At 39.8% G+C, this 27,223-nt stretch overlaps 1 protein-coding gene across 7 annotated transcripts in view; it reads left to right on the top strand.

Moving 5' to 3' along the window:
* Window positions 1-27,223, top strand: part of SERAC1 (serine active site containing 1) — a 58,744-nt gene that overhangs the window by 10,183 nt on the left and 21,338 nt on the right. For 4 of the 7 annotated variants that reach the window (NR_073096.2, XR_007059349.1, NM_032861.4 and 1 more), the window contains exons 3-8: window positions 2,729-2,765; window positions 7,491-7,627; window positions 9,126-9,215; window positions 11,167-11,298; window positions 13,660-13,781; window positions 14,896-15,024. Coding sequence is in view for 5 of the 7 variants with exons in the window: in NM_032861.4 (NP_116250.3) it covers window positions 2,729-2,765; window positions 7,491-7,627; window positions 9,126-9,215; window positions 11,167-11,298; window positions 13,660-13,781; window positions 14,896-15,024 (647 nt within the window). In the remaining 2 variants the exon portion in view is untranslated. Of the gene's footprint in view, window positions 1-2,728; window positions 2,766-6,845; window positions 7,042-7,490; window positions 7,628-9,125; window positions 9,216-11,166; window positions 11,299-13,659; window positions 13,782-14,895; window positions 15,025-27,223 lie in introns of those variants that run through there. The other 3 variants (XM_006715586.4, XM_047419421.1, XM_011536198.4) reach the window with 2 other exon arrangements.

Below are 27,223 nucleotides of genomic sequence, written 5' to 3'. Positions count from 1 at the left end.
TTCCCTCTTCTACTTCTTCTGTCAAATTTCATACTCATCATCCTAAACTTAAATATAACTGCATTTTCATTCAGCAGATATTTATTAAGCTCTTGCAAAACAACACCCATATTAGGTTCTGGGAATACACTGGTGAGCAAGGAAGATGTTGTCTTTGCCTTACGGGGGCTCGGGATATGGCTCCAGTCTACTCCATTTGGAGCCTTGCCTTCGTTTAGGAAGCTTTCTCTGACACCCTAGGCCCGGTTGGATCTGTTACTTGTCATTTCATAGGGTCAGTATAGAACTTAATTATCTGTCTTTCCCCATATGCTGTAAACTCTGTGAAGGCAGTATTTTATCTTGTTTACCACTATAACCTAGTTATTTATCATGCATGGCATGTAGTAGGTGATCAAATAGTGTTTGTTGAATGGAAGAATAAAATAACTTACCTTTTCTGAGCATTATTTCCTTTATGTGTAAAATGAGAAGATTGGCGTAGAACATCTTTTATTCATTTGACAATAAACAAAATATTTAATTGACCATCTACTGTGTGCCAGGTACAATTCTAGGCCCTAAGAATACAATATTGAATAAAACAAAGTCCTTTTCCTCATGGAGTTTCTTTTTGATCTTTAAGAGAAATCTGTTTTTAGGGATAGATCATTTTCATCTAGAAAATTCTGATACTGTGTTTTAAATACAAAAAGAGAAGTGAGGACAAATGTCATTTTGGCAGCATGAGTTGAAGCTCTGAACAAAGGACTGTCTCAATACGTGCAATAAATTATAGGTTAAGGCTGGGTGCGGTGACTCATGCCTGTAATCCCAGCACTTTGGGAGGCTGAGGTGGGTGGATCACTTGAAGTCAGGAGTTCAAGACCAGCCTGGTCAACATGGTGAAACCCTGTCACTACTAAAAATACAAAAATTAGCTGGGTGTGGTGGTGGGCGCCTGTAATCCTAGCTCCTCAGGAAGCTGAGGCAGGAGGATCGCTTCAACCCAGGAGGTGGAGATTGCAGTGAGCTGAGATTGTGTCATTGCACTCCAGCCTGGGCAACAGAATGAAACTCTGTCTATACATATATATATATATAGTTTATATGTATTTATTATATATAAATATATTAATATTTATATAAATATATTAATATCTATATAAATATATTAATATTTATATAAATATATTAATATCTATATAAATATATTAATATCTATATAAATATATTAATATTTATTATATATAAAATATATTTATATAATATATTAATATATTATATAAATATATTATACATTTAAACATATATAATATATTTATTATATATAAAATATATTTATATATAAAAATAATATATTTATATATATATAAAGATTTTTGTGGGCTAGCCTCAGTACCTAATCATGAGTACCATCAGTTAAGGTTGTGCTCAGTGCATGTAACAGAAGCTTGAGTCCAGTGGCTTAAGTTAATATGATTTTCATTCTTCTTACATAATAATAAGCCAAGGTGGAGACAGTTTAGGGCAGGAATTACAGTTTAGCAATCTTCTTGTCTTCCTGTTCCATTCTCTTTATTGTCCTCATGGTCACAAGATGCTTGCTGAATCCTTGGGCATCAAGAAGCAGAGGGCCAAAAGCCATTTTGAGGCTTTGTCTTTTTATGTGGGGAGGGATCCATCTCTATAGACTTCCATCTATATCCGATTGGCTACAACTGTGTTACACTGTTAGCCCTAGCTACAGAGTTGTCTAGGAATTTGAATATTTTTGGGTGGTAATCAGGTTGTGTATTTGTAAGGATTAAAGGGCATGTGTATTGGACAGGCAATTATCAGTGTCTGCCATAGGAATTTTTTAATATTAAAAAAGTTTTCCAAGACCCAAACAAACATTTATAAATAAACTTGTAGAATATAATCTGTATTTTATTTTATTTATTTATTTTAAGATGGAGTCTTGCTCTGTCGACCAGGCTGGAGTGCAGTGGCACAATCTCGGCTCACTGCAACCTCTGCCTCCGTGGTTCAAGCGATTCTCCTGCCTTAGCCTCCCGAGCAGCTGGGATTACAGGCATGCGCCACCATGCCTGGATAATTTTTTTTTTAATATTTAGTAGAGATGGGATTTCACCATGTTGGCCAGGCTGGTCTCGAACTCCTGACCTCAGGTGATCCACTCGCCTTGGCCTCCCAAAGTGTTGGAACTACAGGCGTGAGCCACCGCACCCGGCCTAATCTCTATTTTAAATGGGGCTACGTACGTATGTACCTAACCATCAATTATAACATAATTACTTTAGAAAACATTCTTTTATGTCCCCACTTGACAATATAATCCTTCAGTATAGTCCTAGTAGTGATAGGGACAATGCTTCCCATTTCTTTCTTTAATGGGTTGTTAACTAAAAGGGGTCAGAAGGGAAGTGAGCTGCCTGCATGTTGCATTTGGTGGAAGCATTGTAGTCCTACTAGCATCAGTAGTGGAACAGGGACTAGGAGGTGGAGAAAGGGGAGGTATGAAATGTCATCAATATACATTATATTTGCACTTAGTACTTGTTGATTTGTGTGTTTGTGTCTAAGGATAGGAGACCATTTATTAATAGCAACTGATTATATTAATAGAAAAATAATAACTTCTTATCTGATAATATATGATATAGGTAGAGACTTACACTGTTGCCTATTTCCTTTCACACTTTTAAAAATGAAATTCATCACATTGACTTTTTTTCTTTTGAAGGAAATATAATAAAGTTTACTGGATCACTTATTTTAGGGTAAGTCGTCAACTGTGGAATATTAATTGGCTTCATTATACTCTATTGGAAATCTCAATGGCAGTGATTGACAGGTTGCATGAGGTCTTGAAAGGGTATAGATTTTGGAATTAGACTGGTGGATTTAATCACTGATCCCACCACTTAAATGTTGTCATGATGTGGTTTCCTTACTTTCTGAGGAGTGCTTTCTCTTGGAGCCAAATGTGTACTAGGAACTCTGCCTGCCAGGCACTGCTGCTGTGAGGAAAGCACTTTGACACACTTAAATCAGGCACTCACTTAGCTCTGACACACTTAAATCAGGCACTCACTCAGCTCCGGCAGGCTTAAATTGGGCACTCACTCAGCTCCGGCGCACTTAAATCAGGCACTCACTCAGCTCCGGCACACTTAAATCAGGCACTCACTCAGCTCCGGCACGCTTAAATCGGGCACTCACTCAGCTCTGACACAGTTAAATCGGGCACTCACTCAGCTCTGACACACTTAGGGTCACATCTGGTATTAGGTTCTAAAGTGGGTGAAAAAGGTACAAATTGACTATGGTCAAAAGTATTTTGGAAAATCCCTTAACTCACCATAAAGCTCGCATGAAAGGAAATTGAGGCTGACTGAGAAAACCAACAGATGGACGTCTCCTATCTGATGCTCCCTCAGGAGCATGTGTAATGAATGCAGTGACCCTCTTTCAGCAAATTGTTATTTTTCATACTCTTTTACTTTTTTTTAGGGGGAGGAATATATATGTAATACTATCGTACTGTATTTGTTAATACTTTTTACTAGTACAAATATAAAATTAACTCTCAGATGCCGAAATGATAAAAGAGATATATTTGGCATTTTATCCAAATGCATACATTTCTCCATGACATTGTAATGTAAGGCAAAATATATTTAGATAATTTTTCCCTTTGACTCATTCTGGGCAAAGCATAAATGTATATGGAACCTTTTCTGTAATGCAGTTTGTCTAGCTCACAATTATATTCAGGAATATAGTGAACATTAATTACAGTTTTTTATTATAGTAAAGAATTTTGTCTTTCATGGAAAACAGGATAAAAGTACTGAATACATTTACCCCTTTTGTTGGCTGTTCAGATACATCCCGAAGAGAGCAGAGGATTCTTTTTTTTTTTTTTTTTTTTTGAGACAGAGTTTTCCTCTGTCACCCAGGCTAGAGTGCAGTAGCGTGATCTCCACTCAGTGCAGCCTCTGCCCCCTGGGTTCAGGTGATCCTCCCACCTCAGCCTCCCAAATAGCTGGATCACAGGTGTGTACCACCACACCTGGCTGTTATTATTATTGTTATTATTATTATTATTTGTATTTGTATTTTTAGTAGAGACGGGGTCTTGCCATGTTGCCCAGGCTAGTCTTGAACTCCTGAGCTCAGGTGATCTGCCCGTCTTGGCCTTCCAAAGTGCTGGGATTACAGGCCTGAGCCACTGCCCTTGGCCGAGGGCAGAGGATTCTAAAGAGGCTTCTTTGTGTTCCTCTGGTGCTAGCTAGTATCTGGACTTTGTTTTACCTGCTTGCCTGAGGGTAGAAACCAAAGGTCAGAAGAAGGTGCTAAGCTCTGAATCCAGAGTGCAATCTTTGTGTCAGGATTTAGGGAGTGTGTAAGTCAATCTGATTAGGAAAAAAGAAATCTTCATTTTGAGATTCACAACAAACAACATTTAAAGTTAACTTCAGGTGTTGCTCTTAGGAAAGGAAAAGCTTTCATATGCTGATGATGGGAGTACACATTGGCTAATCTTTTTGCAAAAACGGTTTGTCATTCTCTAGTAAAATTGAATATGTATACTATCAGAAGGTATGTAATTCTAGATACCTGTACGTGTAGATAGAGGAACACGTACTGTATGCACAGTACAGATGTATAAGATATGTCACAGCATTGTTGTAACAGACTCAAACTAGAAACGTTCTCAATACCCATCTATGGGAGAGTGAATAAGTAAGTTGTAGTATATCCATGCAATGGATAATTGCATACTATACGAAAATCTAAGTGCGGGAACTACATTTTACATGCAACAACATGGATAACTCACAAATACAAGGCTGAGCAAAAGAATACATGTAGTGTGATTCCATTGATATGAATTTCAAAAACAGGCAAAACTAAGCTCTGTTGTTTAAGGATGCATATATAGGTGGTAAAACTGTAAAGAAAAGCACATTGTTATAATAAAAATCAGAATCATATATAGAGATGAGAACAGATCATTATCCGGGAGGGACACATTGTGGGTTTCTGGGGTTCTGTTAACATTCTGTTTCTTGCCTGGATATGATTATGCAGCTATTTATTATTTGTAAGCCGAAATGTGTATATACATGTATATGTATATATACAGTCATGTGTCAATAATGGCGATACATTCTGAGTAATGTGTTGTTAGGTGATTTCATTGTTGTGCAATCATCACAGAGTGCACTTGCACAGACCTGGGTGGCAGAGCCTACTCCACACCTAGGCTGTATGGGACAGCCTGTTGCTCCTAGGCTCCAAACCTGTGCAGCCATGTGACTGTGCTGAACACGGTAGGCTATTATAACACAATGGGAAGTATTTGTGTACCTAAACGTATCCAAACAAAAAAAGGTACAGTAAATAAAATTTTAAAATGGTACACTTATATAGGGCACTTACCATGAGTGGAGCTTACAGGACCTGGAGTTGCTCTGGGTGAGTGAGAGTGAGGGCCTAGGACATTACTGCACACTACTATAGACTTTATCAACACTGTGTACTTAGGCTACATTACACTTTTTTTTTTTTCGGAGATGGAGTCTTGCTCCGTCGCCCTGGCTGGAGTGTAGTGGCATGATCTCGTCTCACTACAACCTCTGCCTCCTCGGTTCAAGCAATTCTCCTGTCTCAGCCTCCTGAGTAGCTGGGATTACAGGCGCCCGCCACCATGCCTGGCTAAGTTTTGTATTTTTAGTAGAGCCTTGGTTTTGCCATGTTGGCCAGGCCGGTCTTGAATTCCTGACCTCGGGTGATCCGCCCGCCTCGGCCTCCCAGAGTGTTGAGATTACAGGTGTGAGCCACTGTGCCTGGCTGAACTTTGTGTTTTCTTTAAAGGCAGAGTCTCACTGTGTTTTGCCTAGGCTGGCCTTGAACTCCTGGATGCAAGTGATCCTCCTGCCTCAGCCTTCTAACTAGCTGGTACTACAGGCATGCACCACTGCACCCAGCTACACTATATTTATAAAACAATATTTTTTTCTTCAATAATTAACCTAGCTGGATGTAGTGGTGTGGGCCTGTAGTCTCAGCTATTCGGGAGGCTGAGGCAGGAGGATGACATGACCCCAGAAGTTTGAGGCCAGCCTGGGCAACGTGGTTGAGACCCTGTCTCTAAATATAAATAAAGTCCTGGCTTTAATAATTAACCTCAGCTTACTGTATTTTTTTTTTTTAACTTATGAACTTAAATTTTTGAAAAACTTTTTGACTTTTGTAATTACACTTAGCTTAAAACACAAACACGTTGTATAGCTATACAAAAATATTTTCTTTCTTTATGTCTTTATTCTATAAACTTTTGTCTGTTAAAAAATATTTTCGAGGCCGGGCGCGGCAGCTCACGCCTGTAATCCCAGCACTTTGGGAGGCCGAGGTGGGTGGATCACAAGGTCAGGAGATTGAGACCATCCTGGCTAACATGGCGAAACCCCATCTCTACTAAAAATACAAAAACAAAATTACCCGGGCGTGGTGGCAGGCGCCTGTAGTCCCAGCTACTTGGGAGGCTGAGGTGAGAGAATGGCGTGAACCCAGGAGGTAGAGCTTGCGGTGAGCCGAGATTGTGCCACTGCACTTCAACCTGGGTGACAGAGTGAGACTCCACCTCAAAAAAAAAAATCTTTTTGAGACGAGGTCTTGCTCTGTCGCCCAGGCTGGAGAGCAGCGGCTACTCGTGGGTACAGTCATAGCATGCCGCAGGCTTGAACTCCTGGGCTCAAGGGATCCTTCTGCTTTAGCCTCCCGAATAGCTGAGACTACGTGCCTTGCTACTGTGCCAGCAAAATTTTTTTTTTTAACTTTTTAAATGTTTTTGTTAAAAATGAAACACAAACCCATTAGCCTAGGCCTACACAGGGTCAGGATCATCCATATCACTGTCTCCACCTCCGCATCTTGTCCCACTGTGAGGTCTTCAGGGGCAGTGACATGCATGGAGCTGTCATCTCCTGTGATAACAACACTTTCTTCTGGATGCCTCCTGATGGACCTGCCCTAGGCATTTTACAGGTAGGTAGAAGGAGTACACTCTGAAATAGCAATAAAAGTATACTATAGTGAATACATAAATCAGTAACATTTATTATTATCAAGTATTATGTACTATACGTAATTGTATGAGCTAGACTTTTATAGGACGGGCAGCACAGTAGATTTGTTTACACAGCATCACCACAAACGTGAGTAATGTGTTACGATGGCTACTCAGTCACTAGGAGACAGGAATTTTTTAGCTCCATTATAATCTTATGAGACCACTATCGTATATGAGGTCTGTCCTTGAACAAAAAGTCAGTATGTGATACATGACTGTATAAATGTTATATGCATATTACTGTATACATGTTATGTTTCCCAACAAAAAAGAAGTTTACTATGACAAGCTTAATAGAGAAGAGTAGCTCTTGTGTTACATTTTGATTGTCTATTTATGATGCATTTTTTCTTTTCTCTTTAAGAGGTTCTTTATTTCTTACATATGAAGTTCTGGCCCTGAAGAAGGCTGTGACATTAGATACTCAAGTGGTAGAACGAGAAAAAATGAAGTCATATATATATGTGCACACAGTTTCTTTAGACAAAGGAGAAAATCATGGTAAGTTTATTGTAAAGTAATCCTCTGTGAAAAATGGAAGCTAGTTATTGCATTTAAAAATGCGTCTATTTAAAACACAGTATTAGTAATACAGATTGAGCTAATTCTAAGAATCACCAAACCCCGTGAAAACCAAGTTCCTGAAGAATTAATTGAGGACCAAAGTTTAGGCTTCCGTATTTAATCCAGGTTTGCAACTCTCCTAAAATTAAGTGAAGACTAACTGGCATTTTTAGTCTGAACCTGGAATTCCACATCTTAGTGGGGCTGTCAATACAGAGGCTGGCTCTCAGTTTGGCAAGTACAAAAAACATGATTTTGTAATTTAGCTCAGTGATATTTCTACTTTAAGGGATGTATTCATGCAAACCAAACTCATGAGATATATTCATAAATATGAATGCCAACTCATTTATTATAATTATCTGTCACCAAGGCTAGAAAACCTGTCTTTACTAGTTAGGACACTCCACTTCTCAATATTTAGGACACATGGAAGCCCTCATTAGCGATCATATGGTTGCATGGGAACGTGAACTTTTAGAGCAGAGGAGTATATTTTCCTCAACATATGGATAGCATGGTGAGTCACATACTTGACTCACAGCTGCCTGTTCATACACTGTTAGCTAGAATGTGCCAGTTAACATGATGTTCCTCAAGTGAGGCAGGCTCTGCTGCTCGCCTGTGTCTGTCACCTTGCTGCCCTGTTGCTATTTGTTATTATATCATTTTGTGTATTTCAACATGCTTTTATGGTATGTTTACAATTTCAGTTACATAGATGATTGTTGTTGCTTATAATATACCTGTATATTGAGACTTAATCTCTTTAATAAAGTATCTCCAAACTTCAGTTTGAGGCGAGCTCATCATGAGGGACATTTTCCTGGATATTGCAAAACCTATGTTGTATATGAGGATTTTCATTAGCTTTAGTTAGTATTTTTGTAGTTAGTGTTTTTGTTTTTACTTTTCCCTGACTTGGAGAGCAATCTTATTTTGGAATTGAGAGCTCTGTGTTTCCATAATGGTTTTAGTTGCATCGATAGTGACAATAAAAAGACAACAGTGTTATTTTGTATTTTCTTTGTGAAAAAATATGGAGTTTATACATATCTCTTTGAAACGTTGGAGCATAGTGTTAAGAATACATTCTTGGGCCGGGTGTGATGGCTCACGCCTGTAATCCCAGCACTTTGGGAGGCCGAGGAGGGCGGATCATGAGGTCAGGAGATCAAGACCATCCTGGCTAACAAGGTGAAACCCTGTCTCTACTAAAAATACAAAAAAATTAGCCAGGCGTGGTGGCGAGGGCCTGTAGTCCCAGCTACTCGGGAGGCTGTGAAGCAGGAGAATGGGGTGAACCCGGGAGGCAGAGCTTGCAGTGAGCCGAGATTGTGCCACTGCACTCCAACCTGGGCGACAGAGTAAGATTCCATCTCAAAAGAAAAAAAAAATACATTCTTGGTTTTACTTAATTTTATAATCATTTTAGGTATTGCCTGGCAGGCAAGAAAAGAACTTCACAAAGCAGTAAGAAAAGTATTGGCAACATCAGCCAAGATACTGCGGAATCCATTTGCTGGTAAATATCCACTATATGACTTGGAATCCTTATCAGTAATCTGAAAGTCATTGGAATGATCAACCTGATACTTTTTTTCATTTCTTATACTAATATTTTTTATAGCTATGGAAAATTAATCAGGCCAGGTATGGTGGCTCACGCTTGTAATCCAAGCACTTTGGGAGGCTGAGGTGGGTGGGTCACCTGAGGTCAGGAGTTTGAAACCAGCCTGGCTAACATGGTGAAACCCTGTCTCTACTAAAAATACAAAAATTAGCCAGGTGTGGTGGTGGGTGCCTGTAATCCCAGCTACTCGGAAGGCTGAGGCAGGAGAATGACTTGAACTCAGGAGGCAGAGGTTGCAATGAGCCAAGATCATGCCACTGCACTCCAGCCTGGGTGACAGAGTGAGACTCTGTCTCAAAAAAAAAGCAAAGTAATTAACATTATTCTCTTGGACTGTATTTAATTTTAAGGGCTTAATGCTTTTGACAATTTTCTTCCTTCCTTAGGTAATTGTGAATAAATATGGAGATAAAATATACCCTATTCTCTTGATAAGTGTTTTATAATTTTAAATTTGTTAGAAAATCACTCCCATGCCTTCATAATGAGCATAGTATATCCAATATCATAGATTTCACAATCAGGTTAATCTACAGTGTGGAGCTAGATACAAAAGGGCTTATCTGATCTCCTTAAAAAGTTGGCATCGTGAAAATAAAAGGTGGGAAGACTTTCTATAATTGAAAGAGACTATTAAATCTTGGTTTTAAAAAACAGCTTTAAATATATTTTTTTGAAAAATTGGGGAAGCTTGAATATGGAATTAGACTGAATTTTAGATGATTTGGGAAGATTTTTGTTAGTGTTTTTGGGTGTGATAATAGCATTGTGGTTATTTAAGAGAATGCAGGATTGTTCTTAGGAGATGCAGGTTGAACTGTGAAAGGCTGAAATGTCATTTTGTCTACATCATCCTTTCAAATAGTTTGGGAAAAATTACATGTGAATATAGATGAAGAAAATACGGTAAAATAATAACAGTTATTGAATCTAGATGTGATGTATGGATGTTATTCTTTTTTTTTTTTTTTTTTTTTTTTTTTTTTTTGAGACAGAGCCTTCTCTGTCACCCAGGCTGGAGTGCAGTGGCGCGATCTCTGCTCACTGCAAGCTCTGCCTCCCGGGTTCACGCCATTCTCCTGCCTCAGCCTCCCGAGTAGCTGGGACTGCAGGCGCCCGCCACCACACCCAGCTAATTTTTTTTTTTTTTTTGTATTTTTAGTAGAGACAGGGTTTCACCGTGTTAGCCAGGATGGTCTGGATCTCCTGACCTCGTGATCCGCCTGCCTCGGCCTCCCAAAGTGCTGGGATTACAGGTGTGAGCCACCTCGCCCAGCCTATGTTAACTTATTAATTTCTTTCATATATTTGATCTTTTTGAAAAAGTTTTGGGGAGAAAAAGATTTTAAAAATGACCACATATGAAAGACACCAGAATATACAAAACAAAAGCACACACATTGAGCCTGGGCAATTTCTTGAGTCCCTGTCTCTAGAAAAAAAAAAAAAGATTAGCTGGGCCTGATGGTATACCCCTGTGATCTCAGCTACTCAGGAGGCTGAGGTGGGAGGATTGTTTGAGCCCAAGAGGTCGAAGCTGCAGTGAGCCACGATTGTGTCACTGCACTCCAGCCTGGGTAACAGAGCGAGACTGTCTCAAAAAACAAAACAAAACTGACCCCTGCCCCCCCATCCAAAAAAAAGCACACACAGTATTCATAATAACTGTAAAAGATAATATGACAGAATTGAGAACAAATAATATTAGTTTTTATCAATACCTATATATATGGATTTAACTCTCCAATTGTAGATTTCAGTGTTTATAAATTACCATCTTAAAGTGAAGATAAAAGTATTATCTTAACTTTTCACATTGTCTTGGCTTTTTCTTTTTGCAAAGATCCTTTTAGTACAGTTGATATAGAAGATCATGAGTGTGCTGTGTGGCTGCTCCTACGGAAGAGCAAGTCAGATGACAAAACCACGCGACTCGAGGCTGTGCGGGAAATGTCGGAGACCCATCACTGGCATGGTAATGAGACTACCTGAACAGGTGGCATGCCTTCAGCTGGCTCTTGATTGCTGACATAAAAGACAAGGGAGTGGCCAGGTGCGGTGGCTCACGCCTGTAATCCCAGCACTTTGGGAGGCCACGCTGGTTGGATCACAAGGTCAGGAGTTCAAGACCCACCCTGGCTAACATGGTGAAACCCCGTCTCTACTAAAAATACAAAAAAATTAGCCAGGCATGGTGGCGGGCGTCTGTAGTCCCAGCTACTCGAGAGGCTGAAGCAGGAGAATGGCGTGAACCCAGGAGGCAGAGCTTGCAGTGAGCCGAGATTGCGCCACTGCACTCCAGCCTGGGCAACAGAGCGAGACTCCATCTCAAAAAAAAAAAAAAAAAAAAAAAAAAAAGACAAGGGAGTGGGAGTGAGATTCAGGAAGGAAAATAATTCAGGCAGTGTTAGTATATATAGAAAGTATTTGAAAAATTTTAAGAAGCTTCAGTGATACGGAAAGTAGAAAGCCTGCTGAACTGGTAGTCAAATGTGTTTGGTAAGAATAAGCTCAAAAATGAGGTATATATATTTGTGTAACTTTCTACCAGAACAAAGTTTTATTTGGTTACATACTTCTTTGAGAGCAACTCTTGATTCTGATAGTTACCTAATGTACTTGAGTTTTCTTTTGGTTTCTATTTAATGAAGTACATTTAATTGCTTGCTACACCATACAATTATGTTTGCTTTTACTTTTACAATCTACTTGGCTCTAATACTAATAGTCGAATGTACCCAATTTGTATTTGTGTATATCATTTTTAATGGACTATTTGAAATATGTAATTGTGTTTAAAAATCACAAATTTTACAATAAAAATATTTTTAAAAGAACTCATATCTTCTCTGGTTATAGTACATGGATAAAACTATAATTTGTTAGTAGAGCTGTCTTGTAAAAATGGGAAAAGTAGAAAAAAATAATTTTCTCAGCCAGGCATGGTGGCTCACACCTGTAATCCCAGCACTTTGGGAGGCTGAGGAAGGCGGGTCACTTGAGGCCAGGAGTTCAAGACCAGCCTGGCTAACATGGCAAAACCCTGTCTCTACTAAAAAAATAGAAAAAATTTAGCTGGGCATGGTGACGTGTGCTTGTAATCTCAGCTACTTGGGAGGCTGAGGCACAAGAATTGCGAACCCACGAGGTGGAGTTGTTAGTGAGCCAAGATTGTACCACTCCACTCCAGCCTGGACAACAGAGCAAAACTGTCTCAAAAAAAAAAAAAAAAAAGAAAAATTCTCAAAGAAAAGTTAAGCTCAGAATGAGATCTCTGCAAATTAATTTGTTAATTGGTTGGTGGCTATAATTATAATTTATAATGTAAGTATAAGCTTACTTAATGTTGGTGGAGATTTAGAATAGAAATATTTTTCAAAATTTGCCTTCCAGGGCTCCATTCCAGACTTATTGTATCAGAGAAATCAGAGGAAGTGCCCTGGCCCACAGATTTTGGAAAAGTTCCCCACTTGATCCAGAAGTACTCACCCAGGTTATTATTATTATTGTTTTTTGAGACAGTCTTGTTCTGTCACCCAGGCTGAAGTATAGTGGTGTGACCTTGGCTCACTACAACCTCCGTCTCCTGGGTTCAAGCTATTTTCCTGCCTCAGCCTCCCGAATAGCTGGGGTTACAGGTGCCTGCCACCACGCCTGGCTAATTTTTGTATTTTTAGTAGAGACAGGGTTTCACCATGTTGGCCAGGCTGGTCTTGAACTCCTGACCTCAAATGATCCGCCCGCCTCGGCTTCCCAAAGTGCTGGTATTACAGGCCTGAACCATGGCGACTGGCCAACCCCAGGTTATAAACTGCCATTATTGAAAATAATGTTTGCTTTCATGGTTGGAATTTTGTTTTTGATATATAAAGAATGGCATGTTTAATTCAAAGTACTGCTATCTGGAACTGCAGACTAAATATTCATGGACACTATGAATACCAAAGCACCATATCATCACCACGGAGCAGTAGGCTTAAATGCCACCTCATGTGTTTTGAGTAGTGGTCAGAACATCTTTTGAATGCTGGAATTGTTTTAAAAAGAAGTTAAATTGGTTCTGACTTACCAGTTTCCACCTTTGAGCTTCCTTTTTTCCAAAAAGTTAGGCTGTGACCCGGTCTCCATATATATGTTGAGGAGAATTGTGAGATCAGTCCTGGAAACGTATCTAGCTTATAGGTGTTGTAAATGTAGTTGCACTTGGGAAATTTTGGATTACAAATTTGCAGAGCAGTTTAAAAATTAGAGTGCTTTCAAGTTGTTTGTTCAGTTAATCTTTATGACATCTGTCAGCTAGTTTTGGTATTAACAAAAGAAAATGCTTTTTCAATAGATTACCAGTATAGGATAATTGCTCAAGCCTGTGATCCGAAAACTCTTATTGGTTTGGCACGAAGCGAAGAGAGTGATCTTCGCTTTTTTCTCCTACCACCTCCTTTGCCATCTTTAAAAGAAGTAAGTAAAACAATAATAATAGTAATTTAGAGAGTGAAAAATGGTTTAATATATTATCTTCACTTGGGGTACAAAACACTTTAAAAAAGTAGTTGTTGGCTACTTCTCACAAGCAGATAAACTGGAATGTAAAACTGAAATCATAGTTTTTATACAAAGATTTGGTTCCTCAGGAGGGGCTGTTCCTTCTATATTATTTTCTGCCTTTGGGAATTTGGAGTCTCTATAAACCATTGGGTGACATGCCATAGCATATCAGCATCCATGAGTTGGTCCCTTCTGAGTTTCTGTAGGTCAGGTTTTCTCAGCCTCAACACTATTGACATTTTGGGCCAGATAATCCTTTGTGGTAGGAAGCTGTTGTGTAAATTGTAGGGTGTGTAGTAGCATCCCTGGACTCTACTCCCAAGATGCTAGTAGCACCCCCTAGTTGTAACAACCAAAAATGACCCCAGACGTTGCCAGATGTTTCTGGGGCAAAACAGGCCCTGGTTGAGAAACACTGCCATAGATTTAAAGCATGTTTCTTGAGTATCTTTCCTAGACTAGAAAATGAAACTCTTAAAACTTCTGTGTTAGCAGCTTTTTGAAAAATAGAAAAATGAACATACTAGATATTAATTATTAGAGAAAATGAGATAGTAACAAGTTCTGGATTTAAAAAGCAGTAGCTTTAATTAGTAAGGGTGCAATAATTCATTTTGAGTCAAGATGTTGAGAATGTCAAGATGTCAGATGAACATTGAGAGTTAAAGTTTACAATAGGTCTGTCAGTTTGAAGTAGCAGACATGAAAGTATAGAATTCAAAATTAAATGATTGTTTATTTACCTGGGTGGGTGACTGTTTTCAAGACTGAAAGCAGTAATTAATCTCTGATATCTCTTTCCCTAGATCTCTATATCATATATATATGTGTGTGTGTATATATATATATATATATATATATATAGAGAGAGAGAGAGAGAGAGAGAGAGAGAGAGAGAGAGAGAGACATGCACACATAATATATGGCTTTGATATATATGGCAAATATTGGCTTTGAGTCTTTGGATATTTTTTGTTGTACTCAGTTGTTGAGTATTTATGAAGAATTTCCTTTCCTTTTATTTCAGGATTCTTCCACTGAAGAAGAGCTCAGACAGTTGCTGGCTTCCTTACCTCAAACAGAGCTAGATGAGTGTATCCAGTATTTTACATCTTTGGCTCTTAGTGAAAGCAGTCAGAGTCTAGCTGCTCAGAAGGTTAGTTCATGTATTCATTCAGTAAATATTTTTGAGTGTCCACCCTTTCCAATGTATTGTGTCAGTGGCTGGCATTCACCCAGTAACTGAGTAAACATGCTAACTTCTGGTTGTGTGTCATGCCCTGGGCTGGATGTCAGGGATGACAGGGAGGCAGGTAAATGAACAGTCACAGAGTGTGTAAGAGAGATAAAGGTGATTTCAGGAGCCCTTCACTATGCTTAAGAGGTCATTTACAGCTTCACAGGAGGTAACTCTTAAATTTTATCTTAAAGAATGAGGGCCGGGCGCAGTGGCTCATGCCTGTGGTCCCAGCACGTTGGGAGGCCGAGGTGGGTGGATCACGAGGTCAAGAGATTGAGACCATCCTGGCCAACGTGGTGAAACCCCATCTCTACTAAAAATACAAAAATTAGCTGGGCGTGGTGGCACATGCCCATAGTCCCAGCTACTCGGGAGGCTGAGGCAGGAGAATCGCTTGAACCCGGGAGGCGGAGGTTGCAGTGAGCCGAGACTGTGCCACTGCACTCCAGCCTGGTGACAGAGCGAGACTCCGCCTCAAAAAAAAAAAAAAGAATGAATAGGGCTGAGGGCAGTGGCTCACAACTGTAATCCCAGTGCCCAGTGCTTTGTGAGGCTGAGGCAGGAGGATTGCCTGAGGCCAGGAGTTTGAGACCAGCTTGGGCAACACAGTGCGACCCCCGTCTCTTTAAAACATTAAAAAAAAATTAGCTGGACATGGTAGCATGTGCCTGTAGTTCCAGCTGTTTGAGAGGCTGAGCTGGGAGGATTGCTTGAGCCCAGGAGACTGAGGCTTCAGTGAGCTGTGATTGTGCCACTGCACTCCAGCCTGGGCAACAGCATGAGACCCTGTCTCAAAAAAAAAAAGAAAAGAAAAAGTAAAAGGCTATCAGTGAATACTGAATTCTGATATTCTTGGGGTGTTATGTCAGCGAGTTTTTCTTTATAAAAATCTCATATCTCTAAGAGAAATCAGAACGAATAACCACCATTATTAACTGCAATAACTATGTAATCTCAATGAGAGGAACGTATTTTGTCAGTAAAAAAAAAAAAATCAGTGTTTTATATTCTTTGACCAATTAAATGCGTTTTCTCATTTTTCCCTTTTGTGAGAAATTAGGGATGCATCAGTAGAAATGACTTGTCTAGTATACTTTACATAATTTCCCCTTTTGGGCCATGTCTTGGAATTGCTCCAGTGAATTATAATGGTTTTTCTTTTTGATGCTGAGAGTTCTGTCGTCTGGCCTCTATAGCCCTTTCTGTATGCTGACCTTCTTATGCTTTTAAATTCTGTTCCCAAAGTGGCTGGAAGGTGCCATGGTTTTTTGACAAGGTATCCCTGGCTCTTTTTGATTCTTCCTGCCCTACAAGATTTGGCCGCTTCTCCAAGGAGATCTGGTTCTTCTTACAGGAAAAGGTTAAGAGTCCAAAACCCAGGCACTAGGTGTGCATAGTAGTTCTTCATGAAGGTAGAGCTGGTGGACCCTGGGGGCTCCTAGACACCTAAGTGACGGAGCAGAACAATTACCTTTTTCTTAAAAGGTCTTAAATTTATGGTGATATTTCCAATTCAACTAGTTTTCTTTTTAATCCACATACCATAAAACCCTTTAAGACTATACAATTCATTGGGTTTTAATATACTCATAGAGTTGTATAATCATTACTCCAATCTAATTCCAGAATATTTTCACCATCCCCCAAAGAAACCCTGTAACCATTAGCTGTCACCACTCATTCCCCTCTCCAGCCCCTGGTAACCACTGATCTATTTTTCCTATGGATTGGCCTGTTCTGGACATTTCGTATGAATGGAATCATCCAATATGTGGCCTTTTGTGTCTGACTTCCTTCACTTAGCATAATGTTTTCAAGGCTCAGCCACACTGTGGCATATCAGTGCTTCATTCCTTTTTATGGCCAAGTAATAGTCCATTGTATGGCTATGCCGCATTTTATTTATCTGTTCATCAGTGATGGACATTTGGGTCATTCCTATTCTTTGGCTGTTATGTATGAATAATACTTCTATGAACATTCTATTGTTTGGCTATTATGTATGAATAATACTGCTATGAACATTTCTCATTGGAAAAAAAAACTGTACTGTACAAGATAGGAAAAAAGCAAAGCATTTTTCCTACTTTCTCACACCACTTAACACTTCTGACACCAGGAGTGTGGAGGGTTTTTCCCTACACACTCAGCAATTCTCCATCAAACATCAGCTCAGTGTCCTTCAATTTAGTTCAGTTCTGACATCTCTACCTAGAGATGGTGTCAGAGCCCATAGGTTAAGGGCTCTGTCCCACAGGACTGCCCCCCACTTCAGATACCAGTCACAAGTTCCAGGTGTGACCTGTGCTTCTGATCAACCAGCCATAAACTGGGAGTGCCCATGACCCCCACCTTGGGTTTGATTAATTTACTGGGACGACTCATGGAATTCAGAAAAACACCTTACTTATGCTTACCGTTTATTATAAAGGATATGACAGAGGAGAGGGATGGACAGCAGATGGAAGACATGCGTAGGGCAAGCTATGTAGGAAGGGGCGCTGAGCCTTCATGCCCCTCCGGGTGCATCACCCTCCAGACATCTCCACGGGTTCCGGTATCCAGAAACTTTCTGAACCCTGTCCTTCAGATTTTCATGGTTTTAATCAGTTGGCATGATTGATTGACTCATTGACCTTTGGTGATCACCTCAACCTTCAGGCCCTCTGTCCTCCCTAGAGGTTGAGTAGGGCAGAAAGTCCCTACCATCTAATCATGCCCTTAGTCTTTCTGGCCACCAGCCCCCTTCCTGAAACTATTTAGGGGCCCTCCGTCCACCAGTCATCTCATTAGCATACAAAAGACACTCATCACTCTGGAGGGAACCAGGGGTAGAGACCAAATACGTATTTCTTATTAGATCTCAATATCAACATTTATGTGCATGTCTTTGTGTGGATGTATGTGTTCAGTTTTCTTGAGTATATACCTAGGAGTGGAATTTCTGGGTGTTATGGTAAGTAACTTTTTGAGTAACTTTCAAATGTTTTCCACAGAGACTTTACCATTTTACATTCCCACCAGCAATATATGTTATTGTCCATCTTTTATTCTAGCCATCCCATTGTGTGTGAAGTAGTATCTTCATTCTGGCTTTGATTTGCATTTCCTAATGCTTAATGATGTTGGGCATCTTTTCACGTGCTGTTGGCACTTACATATCTTCTTTGGAGAAATACCTATTCAAATCCTTGGCCCAATTTTTTTTTAACTAGTGATTTTGTTTTTGTTTTTGAGATGAGGTCTCACTGTGTTGCCCAGGCTGGAATGCAGTAGCTATTCACAGGCAAAATCATAACATGCCCTACAGCCTTGAACTCCTGGGCTCAAGTGATCCTCCCACCTCAGCCTCCTGAATAGCTGAGGCTACAGGTGTGAGCCACCATGGCTCCCTTTGCTCATTTTAAAATTGGGTTACTTGTCCTTTTTGAAGCATCTTTTCATGTTGCAGCACCCAATTTAAAAATGGACTTTTTTTGTTGTTGTTGTTGAATTGTAAGAGTTCTTGATATATTCTAGATACAAATCTCTTATTAGATATGTTGAATTGTAAGAGTTGAAATTTTTTGTTGAGTTGTAAGAGTTCTTTATATTGTTGAATTGTAAGAATTCTTTATATTGATGAATTGTAAGAACTCTTTGTATATTCTGGATACAAATCTCTTATTAGATATGTAATTTGCAGATATTTCTCCCATTCTGTGGGTTCTTTTCACTTTCTTGATAGTGACCTGTGCACCCCAAATGTTTTAATTTTGATGAAGTCTGGGCAGGTATGGTGGCTTATGTCTGTAATCCTAGCACTTTGGGAGGCTGAGGTGGGAAGATCACTTGAGCCCAGGAGTTTGAGAACAGCCTGGGCAACATAGCAAGACTATCTCTACAAAGAAGAAAAACATTAACCAGTTGTGGGGTGTGTGCCTGTGGTCCCAGCTTCTCAGGAAGCTAAGGCAGGAGGATCACTTGAACCCAGGAATTCAAGGCTGCAGTGAGCAGTGATCATGCCACTGCACTCCAGCTTGGGCAACAGAACAAGTCCCTGTCTCTAAAAAAAATTTAAAAATAAAAAACATTTTTGATGAAGTCCAATTTATACATTTTTTCCTTTTGTTGTTTGTGCTGTTGGTGTCAAACCTAGGAAACCACAACCCTGTCATGCCAAGTAGTTTCTTATCTAAATCTGTATTCATCCCTTCTCTATTCTTATGCCCCTGCTTTTCATCTGGAAGCCAGGGAACCACCTCAATTTCAGCAGGCCTTGTCTAACATCTGATAGTTTCAGCTTGGTTGGGACCAGGCTATTTATAGACAGGGTCTTGTGTACTTCTCTGTGTTCTGCCATGGTGTCTCCCACTCCCATCACTAAATTATCTCCTGCACCCCCATGTCGGAGCTCCTGAGACCTGGCCTGACGTTACTATTTAGTTAATATTCCTCTACCTTCTGTAGTGTTCTGTAACCTTACCTTTTGCCAAGTGAAGAGAGGGAAAGTGGTTTAATACCACCATGCTACCTTTTTTTTTTTTTTTTTTTTTTGAGACAGAGTCTCCCTCTTGTCACCCAGGCTGGAGTTCAGTGGTGTGATCTCGACTCACTACCACCTCTGCCTCCTGGGCTCAAGCAATTCTCCTGCCTCAGCCTCCCGACTAGCTGGGACTACAGGCATGTGCCACCACACTAGGCTAATTTTTTTGTATTTTTAGTAGAGATGGGGTTTCACCATGTTGGTCAGGCTGGTCTCGAACTCCTGACCTCAGGTAATCTGCTCGCCTTGGCCTCCCAAAGTGCTGGGATTACAGGCGTGAGCCACTGTGACTGGCCCCACTATGCTGCTGCTTGGTGCAGAATTCTTGGCCTCAGCCAGTAGTTTAAAGAGTTACATAGTTTAAATTGGCCTTGTGCATATGTGTGTGTGTGTTCATAGTTAACATATCATGTGTTTGTGTGTTTTAACATTCACCGCCTTGGAGAGGACCTGCGTCTTCTGACAACTTCTCCACCACCCTCCCCTACCCATTTCAGGTGCCTCATTTTAAAGATCTTCCCCTAACCAAAGTTTTTCTGAAAAAGTAATTCGTATGACCTTTTTTTTGAGATGAGGGTCTCACTCTGTCACCCAGGTTGGAGTACGGTGGCATGGTCTCAGCTCACTACAACCTCCACCTTCTGGGCTCAAGTGATCCTCTCACCTCAGCCTCCCAAGTAGCTGGGACTACAGGCGTGTACCACTATGCCTGGCTAATTTTTTTTGTATTTTTGGTAGAGACGGGGTTTCGCCATGTTGCCCAGGCTGGTCTCGAACTCCTGGCTCAAGAGGTCCACCCTGCCTCAGCCTTCCAAAGTGCTAGTATAACAGGTGAGAGCCACCGTGCCTGGCCCGTATGACCTTTTGATTGCATTGTCTTTATGCTACTCCAATTCAGTGTGTTTAGGAGCCATAGATCACACTGGAAATGATGAAACTGACACTTGAAACATTTCCATTCTGCTTGGGCAGATCACAGACACATATATCCATCCTTTAAGTAAATACATTGTTTTTAGTATTTTTTTTTTAAATGACAGAGCAAGACTCCGTCTCAAAAAACAAACAAACAAACAAAAAACAACGAATGCTTTATGTTTAATGAAGCACCTTTGATTTTTCCACTTGGAAGGCACTAGTTTCACTTTGATTTGAGTCCCTGTTCTTTTTTTTTAAACAAGAGGTAGCATATATTTAATTAATTTAATATTTAAATAAATATTTAATTGTAATTCTAATGTCTCATCTCTTTAGGCGAGTAAGCACTGCTTTTTACTTTTTTTTTTTTTTGAGGCACAGCCTCGCTGTGTTGCCAGGCTGGGGTGCAGTGGCTTGATCTCGGCTCACTGCAAGCTCCATCTCCCGCATTCAAGCGATTCTCCTGCCTCAGCCTCCCAAGTAGCTGGGACTACAGGCGCGAGCCACCATGCCCAGCTGATTTTTGTATTTTTAGTAGAGACGGGGTTTCACCATGTTAGCCAGGATGGTCTCGATCTCTTGACCTCGTGATCCGCCTGCCTTGGCCTCCCAAAGTGCTGGGATTACAGGCATGAGCCACTGCACCTGGCTGCCTTTTAGTTATTCTTATTCCCCCTACTCTGCCTCAAGTTTATCATGCCTCCTGGATTTCACATATGCCAGGAAGCTGGGGGTGCTGACATGGTGGGTGGAGAGAGTCCATCTGGTTTGTAGTGATCTGTCTGCCCAGTTTATGACAGACCTGCCTCATAGTGGTCCCCAAGGGCCCTTCAGTGTCAGTGTGCTGTTTCTATATAAAACTGCTTTCAAGCTGGGCACAGTGGCCCATGCCTGTAGTCCCAGCTACTGAGGAGGCTGAGGCAGGAGGATACCTCAGTCCAGGAGTTCGAGGCTGCGGTGCTCTATGATAGTTTCTGTGAACAGCCACTGCACTCCAACCTGGGCAACATAGTGAAACCCCATCTCTAAAAAATAAAACAAAACTCCTCACGTACAGAGGCGACTGTCAGCCCCAGCATACAGCCAACACGATAATGCTTGGTTTTGGAACAGGGTTCTTAACCTTTGAATACCATGGACTCCTTTGGTGATTTGGTAAAGTCTAGGAACTCAGTTCTAAATGCATAAAATATAATACATAAGATTACAAAGGAAACAAATTATATTGAAATACTGTTATCAAAAGAGAAAATAAATTCTGATATAATTAATATATGTATGGATGCATTCAATAATAAGAAAATATATTTAAAACATGAAAGTTGAAGTTAATTAAAATTTTTCTCTTTTTATTTTGGAATAATTTCAAATTTAAATAATTGCGAAAATAATACATTTCATTAAGTTTTACCAATTACTGGCTGGGCGCAGTGGCTCACGCCTGTAATTCCAGCACTTTGGGACACCGAGGCAGGCGGATCATGAGGTCAGGAGATTGAGACCATGCTGGCTAACACAGTGAAACCCCATCTCTACTAAAAATACAAAAAAATTAGCCAGGCGTGGTGGCAGGTGCCTGTAGTCCCAGCTACCTGGGAGGCTGAGGCAGGAGAATGGTGTGAACCGGGGAGGCAGAGCTTGCAGTGAGCCAAGATTGCACCACTGCACTCCAGCCTGGGTGACAGAGTGAGACTCCGTCTCAAAAAAAAAGATTCACCAATTACTAACATTTTATCCCATTTGTTATATCATCCCTCCCTTTTACTTTCCATCTCTCTGCAGGTATATTTTAACGGACCTATTCACACACATTTAATATTTTTCTGCCTGAGCCATTCATTAGGTACAGACCTGATGCCCCAAGGACATTCCCTGAAAGAACCACAGTACAGTTATCGATTCAGAAAATTTAATATTGGTATAATATTGTTGTCTAATATTTGAATACTCCATATTTGAATTTTCCCGGTAATTCTTTTATGACAGCTTTTTTTTTGAGATGAAGTCTCGCTCTGTCACCCAGGCTGGAGTGCAGTGGCGCGATCTCGGCTCATTGCAACCTCCGCCTCCCCAGTTCAAGCAATTCTCCTGCCTCAGCCTCTTGAGTAGCTGGGATTATAGGCATATCCGCCACCATGCCTGACTAATTTTGTATTTTTAGTAGAGACGGGATGTCACCATGTTGATCAGGCTGGTCTCGAACTCCTGACCTCAGGTGATCTGCCTGCCTTGGCCTCCCAAAGTGCTGGGATTATAAGCATGAGCCACTGCACCCAGCCTATGACAGCTTTTTTCTTTTTAAAAAATCTATTTCAGGATCTAGTCTGGTATTAAGCATTGCATGTGAGTCTTGTGTATTTAGTCTCCTTTTACCTGAAAATTTTTTCAGCCTTTCTCTGTCTTCATGACATTGACATTTTTGAAGAGTACAAAGCAGTGGTTTGTAGATTGGCCCTTAGTTTAGTTTGTCTCATGCTTCCTCATGATTAAATTTGAGTGTGCATTTATTACAGGAATACGATAGAGGTGATTTTGTGTCCTTCCCAGTATGTCATGCCCAGAAGCACGTGATGCCAGCTCAACACTTATTGGCTGATGTTTCCTTTGTTCACTTGGTTAAAGTGATGTCTGCCAGTTTTCTCTGCTTGAATGTTAATATATTTATGTATTTGAAATTAATACACGATTTTAGGAGGAGGAGATACTTTGAGATTAGGAGACTGTCCTGTTGCTCTTCAAACTTTCAGCCAGTGGTTTTATTTAATAATAATCTTTGAATGAATGTTGCCTGAATAACAGTTATTGTTAGGTGGTTGCAAAATGCTGAGTTTTTCCCCCTAATTTTATTACTCCTTACTCATTTATTTAGTATTCTTCTGTAGGAAAAGCTTTCTTCTTCCTCTCATTTCTCCTTTCTGCTTTTCTAATCCATATGGGATAACACATGGTTATTTTTCTTCACTAGATTATAATCTCTTACTATCCTTATTCATACTGATGTTCAAATTGTCCCAGGTTTGGCTGTGGGAGCCCCTTCAGGTTGTCTCCCATGTCTTTTGTAAATGGTTTCATTCATTATTTTTGGAGTTCTTGCTTATTTTTTGGTATTAGAAAATGTTCATCTTAGACTTTCCCTGTTCTAGCCCTAGAATAAGCTGATTTTTTAAGCAGGCTTGGTTCCTTTTAGGGCTAATGGTATTTAGTAACCAAGTTCTGGGCTAGGTAAGCTCATTGCTGCTGTCATTGCTTTCAGGCCTTCAGTGGATAGAGCTGGGGAAAGAGGCAGCTTCATATGGTTCCATTCAATATGTACCTTTTATTTTTTAATGACATCAGTGTGAATGCTGTTGATGCTTCACTGAATAAGAACATTGAACTGTTGATCTCAAACCATTGTTGCTAGGGAATGCTGAAAGCAGTGTAGATTTGGGATCACTAGTATGAGAATGTGCAACTTCACCGTTTGGTGATAGTTGGCATTGAAAGGAAGAGTGAATATAACCGTATTTTCAGATAGCTGCAACATGAGATGTGATATGAAAATACCTGTGCTTTCCCTTACTGCTAGAATCACAGGTACTGCTAGTGTTACTGTGGTTTATTGTCTGTGTTCATAACTGAATACTATGCAGAATATCAGTTAGAGGTTAGGAAAAAACAAAGGTAATTTTTTTTTCCATCCAAGTTTACACCCTACCTGCCTTGAATTCTATCTACCCCATACCCCTAAGGACCCTTGTTAAAAACTCTTGCTTTAGAATGAACATCATTTTAAAGCCCAGTTAGTTTGCACAAATCACAGAGCTCTAAGGTTGTAACTTTTTATGAAGAAACACCAGAGATGGGCCAGGTGCAGTGGCTTACGCCTGTAATCCCAGCACTTTGGGAGGCCGAGGCGGGCGGATCACGAGGTCAGGAGATCGAGACCATCCTGTCTAACATGGTGAAACCCTATCTCTACTGAGAATACAAAAAATTAACTGGGCGTGGTGGCACATGCCTATAGTCCCAGCTACTCAGGAGGCTGAGGCAGGAGAATAACTTGAACCCGGGAGGCGGAGCTTGCAGCGAGCTGAGATTGCACCACTGCACTCCAGCCTGGGCGACAGAGAGAGACTCCATCTCAAAAAAAAAAAAAAAAAAAAAAAAATTAACACCAGAGATTAGCTCTTTTATATTACTGTTGCCTTTCCATTTTTCTACCTATTCCTTTTTTTTTTTTGTCTGTTTGAGACAGGGTCTCACTCTGTTGCCCAGGCTGGGGTGCAGTGGCATGATCATGGCTTACTGCAGCCTTGACCTCCCTGGGCTAGGCAATCCTCCCACCTCAGCCTCCCGGGTAGCTGGGACAGCAGGTGTGCACCACCTTGCCCAGCTAATTTTTTGTAGAGATGGGGTTTCACTGTATTGACCAGGCTGGTCTTGAACGCCTGGGCTCAAGCAATCCACTTGTCTCAGCCTCCCAAAGTGTTGGGATTACAGGCGTGAGCTACCACGCTCGGCCTGTACCTACTCTTTATTATTGTTTTTAATATTGTCATTCTCTAGCTTTTCCTGTGCACTTCCTTAATCCTTATAAAATTATTTTTTGTTGCACTCATAGAATTTGATGTTTGGTGTTTCTTAAATCTTTATGAATTTATTTAGTCTTGTCATATCTTAGTTCAGTATAAAGTAGCAGTAACTATGTACATTTATTTTTACATTAGGGTTTAGAATATAATCCATACAACCATACTGTGAGTTTGTTCCTTTGTATTCATTCCTTTTTGCTTGTACTTCTTACTGCCACAAAATCTGCCAATTCATAGGTAACAAGCTTCGCCAAAAGTGAGAATGAAATGGGAACTGCACTCTACATCACACTGCGGAAATGGCCAAGACAAATGAAAGTCCTAGATCATTTTTCTTTGCCTTCTCTCCTCTCTGTCCTTGGGGAATTTAGAGTAGAACTAGATGAGATAGATAATTCAAGGGTACAAGGTGGGAAGAGGGGTTTGGGGGAGCCAGGATGTGGCGATAAATCTTCAACTAAAAATTCCTACCCCCCGACAAAGCTTACCAATCCACTATTTACCATTGTCTCTGCCAGAGAAGGACGACTTTTCATGACTTAGCCCCATCTCAGTCCTCAGTTTAAATGATGTGACTCTGAGATCCAAGCATGTTTAAATTTAGAAAAAAATAATATTATATACGAGAAGAAGGCATGAATAAAAAGTATAGAGTGGCCAAAAATTATTTTTAGTTGGTTTACTGAACCATGGACCTTATAAATTAACTAAAAATGCAGAATCTTATGGATTATATTTCCTATGGAAAACACTGGGCTTTATATTAATATATACATTTTTTAGCCATTACCTTGTAGTTGTCCTCTTTTGCCAGCAGGTGGGCTGTATGCACACAATTATGACCCTAGCTCCAAAGTGAAGCACTTCCAAAGCACCTACAGCAATGCAGCAATACATCTTCTCTCCATTCCTTCCATCTCTCCTACCCCAACACACACACTCTCTCTCTCTACACGAGTAGTAGCATAGGATACATACACACTGTTCTATACCTTTTTCTCACTTAAGGATTATTGTGGAGATTGGTATATATCAGTGTAAGAAGAGACTCAAAATTTTCAGACCGGCATGGCATTCCATTGTACAACTGTACCATAATTGATTTAACTAACCCCCATTGATAAATATTAGCTGGTTTTCAGTCTTTATTATTATACAAACAATGCAGCAGCTAGCAAACTTGCATATCTATCACTTTCCCTGTGTGTGAGCATCTCTGTAGGATCAATTATTAAAGGGCATGTGCACTTGTGATCTTGATCACCGATGCCAGGTTGTCCTCCATAGAAGTCGTGCCATTGATACCACTCGCAGCAGGGTGCTGTGCGTGCTTGTTTCCCTAGAACCTCGTCTGTTCGATGGATGACAAATGTAGCTTCTTAGTGTCCTTTCAGTGTGCACGCCTCTCATTATGAACAGTGCTGAGCGTTGTTTATATATATTTATAAAATAAATATACAAAAAATATATTTATATTATATTTATGTATTTTATATATAATGAATTATATTTAGAAATATGCCTCTAAAATATAAAAATATAAATATAAATATATTATATAATTTACATATATAATATATAGATATAAATATATAGTATATTAGTATATAATAAATGTAAATATATACTATACAATATATAAATATATAATATATAATTTATAATATATTCTTATATATTTTAGAGGCATTGTATTTATTTTCCTAACAACTTTATGTTTATGACTGTGCTTGTATTTCTATAATAGTGTTGGTATTTTTTGTCACTGACTTGTAGGAGATTATTGCATATTAGTGACATTAACCCTTGATCTGTGATAAGAGTTGAAATTGAAATGCTTTAATTTTGAAAACATTCAATAGAAAATTGAAATGTTTTTATTTATGTTTTAATATGTTAGAAATAGTCCCCACTACTCTTCTGTTTTGTAATTTTTGTAACGATTTTTGTTTATCCTTCCATAAGAACTTGAATTGAATTTCAACTTAAGAAGAATTGAAAGCTCTGTGATCATTGTCATCGTGTTCTTTCTTTTTAACTTGTCCAATAATGCTTTATATCTTTTGAATTATATTGATTATTAGACTTTAAGTAGGCT

Source organism: Homo sapiens, chromosome 6 (genome assembly GCF_000001405.40).
Source record: "Homo sapiens chromosome 6, GRCh38.p14 Primary Assembly".
NCBI lineage: Eukaryota > Metazoa > Chordata > Mammalia > Primates > Hominidae > Homo > Homo sapiens.
Note: the sequence above shows the minus strand (reverse complement) of the source record. Positions and strands in the feature narration are given on the sequence as shown.